This window comes from Homo sapiens, chromosome 17, assembly GCF_000001405.40.
Source record: "Homo sapiens chromosome 17, GRCh38.p14 Primary Assembly".
Taxonomy (NCBI): Eukaryota; Metazoa; Chordata; class Mammalia; order Primates; family Hominidae; genus Homo; species Homo sapiens.
In genome coordinates, this window is record NC_000017.11 from 71356597 (window position 1) to 71358667 (window position 2071).

Genomic DNA, 2071 nt, shown 5'->3' on the forward strand with positions numbered 1-2071 from the left:
GATTTGGTCTTTTCACATAGTCCCATATTTCTTGGAGGCTTTGCTCGTTTCTTTTTATTCTTTTTTCTCTAAACTTCCCTTCTCACTTCATTTCATTTATTTCATCTTCCATCGCTGATACCCTTTCTTCCAGTTGATCACATCGGCTCCTGAGGCTTCTGCATTCTTCACATAGTTCTCGAGCCTTGGTTTTCAGCTCCATCAGCTCCTTTAAGCACTTCTCTGTATTGGTTATTCTAGTTATACATTCTTCTAAATTTTTTTCAAAGTTTTCAACTTCTTTGCCTTTGGTTTGAATGTCCTCCCGTAGCTCGGAGTAATTTGATTGTCTGAAGCCTTCTTCTCTCAGCTTGTCAAAGTCATTCTCCATCCAGCTTTGTTCCGTTGCTGGTGAGGAACTGCGTTCCTTTGGAGGAGGAGAGGCACTCTGTTTTTTAGAGTTTCCAGTTTTTCTGCTCTGTTTTTTTTCCCCATCTTTGTGGTTTTATCTACTTTTGGTCTTTGATGATGGTGATGTACAGATGTGTTTTTGGTGTGGATGTCCTTTCTGCTTGTTAGTTTTCCTTCTAACAGACAGGACCCTCAGCTGCAGGTCTGTTGGAGTACCTGGCCGTGTGAGGTGTCAGTCTGCCCCTGCTGGGGGGTGCCTCCCAGTTAGGCTGCTCAGGGGTCAGGGGTCAGGGACCCACTTGAGGAGGCAGTCTGCCCGTTCTCAGATCTCCAGCTGTGTGCTGGGAGAACCACTGCTCTCTTCAAAGCTGTCAGACAGGGACATTTAAGTCTGCAGAGGTTACTGCTGTCTTTTTGTTTGTCTGTGCCCTGCCCCCAGAGGTGGAGCCTACAGAGGCAGGCAGGCCTCCTTGAGCTGTGGTGGGCTCCACCCAGTTCGAGCTTCCCAGCTGTGCTAGCAATCAGCGAGACTCCGTGGGCATAGGACCCCCCGAGCCAGGTGCAGGATATAATCTCCTGGTGCGCCATTTTTTAAGCCCGTCAGAAAAGTGCAGTATTCGGGTGGGAGTGACCCGATTTTGCAGGTGCCATCTATCACCCCTTTCTCTGACTAGGAAAGGGAACTCCCTGACCCCTTGCGCTTCCTGAGTGAGGCAATGCCTCACCCTGCTTCGGCTCACGCACGGTGCGTGCACCCACTGACCTGCGCCCTAGTCAGTGACTGTCTGGCACTCCCTAGTGAGATGAACCCGGTACCTCAGATGGAAATGCAGAAATCACCCGTCTTCTGCATCGCTCACGCTAGTTGCTGTAGACCGGAGCTATTCCTATTCGGCCATCTTGTCTCCTCTCCCCAAAAATAGTACTTTAAAAGAAGAATTATGTAACCCAGCTATAACTAGGACATCCAAGTCCAGTCTTAGTAGATTCTCACATTCATTCAATACCCACAGTGTTAAAAATTAATTAAATGTCTTGAGTTTATTGAGGTCTCTAGAAGACATACCAACTATAAATTGTGTTCTATGACAAATGGAAGTGCTTGCTAAATAACAGTAGATAACACTTGCTGGGCAGTAATTCTGAACATAATCAGCATTTTAATGTATCCCTCTCCCTGAAGGGCCTCCAGATTACCTCCTGCTTTCCACGAGAATCTCATTTTTCTCTGCTTTTTTCCCTGCTTTCATGAGACCTCACTGTTTCTTTCTTATCTTCATAACCTAATGATGTAGTCTATTCAATTTTTCTAATAAGATGTCTTATCATTCTCTCATGTTTAAATTTTTTTAAAACCTGTAATCTTGATGAGAAATGTCAAGTGACAGAAGACTCTAGCAGCTCAATGAGGCTGTGTTGGAATGAAGAAAGAAGAAAAAGATGTTTTTGTTTATTTGGTTGCTTGGTTGTTTTTTGTATTTTTTAAAGTAAGAACTACCATCTTTTCTATTACTTTTTCCTTGTTAACTCACACCCTTCATGTGTAGGGGGAGGCCATACTAGCAAGAAGAGAGAAAACTGTCGTACAAATGAGAAGATGTAGAAGGAAGGATTGATAGGGGGTGATAGGGTCATATTTATTTTTTTGTTGTTGTTGTTCAATGGAACAATAAGCATTTGG

General features: G+C 44.1%; 1 annotated feature.

Annotated features, from left to right (window-relative positions):
- Positions 882–1381: an enhancer, noted in NCBI's record as "H3K4me1 hESC enhancer chr17:69353619-69354118 (GRCh37/hg19 assembly coordinates)". NCBI's record gives its function as "activates a minimal SCP1, AML or CMV promoter by ChIP-STARR-seq in primed H9 embryonic stem cells {active_cell/tissue: H9 hESC(primed)}" and the evidence as "EXISTENCE:reporter gene assay evidence [ECO:0000049][PMID:30033119]".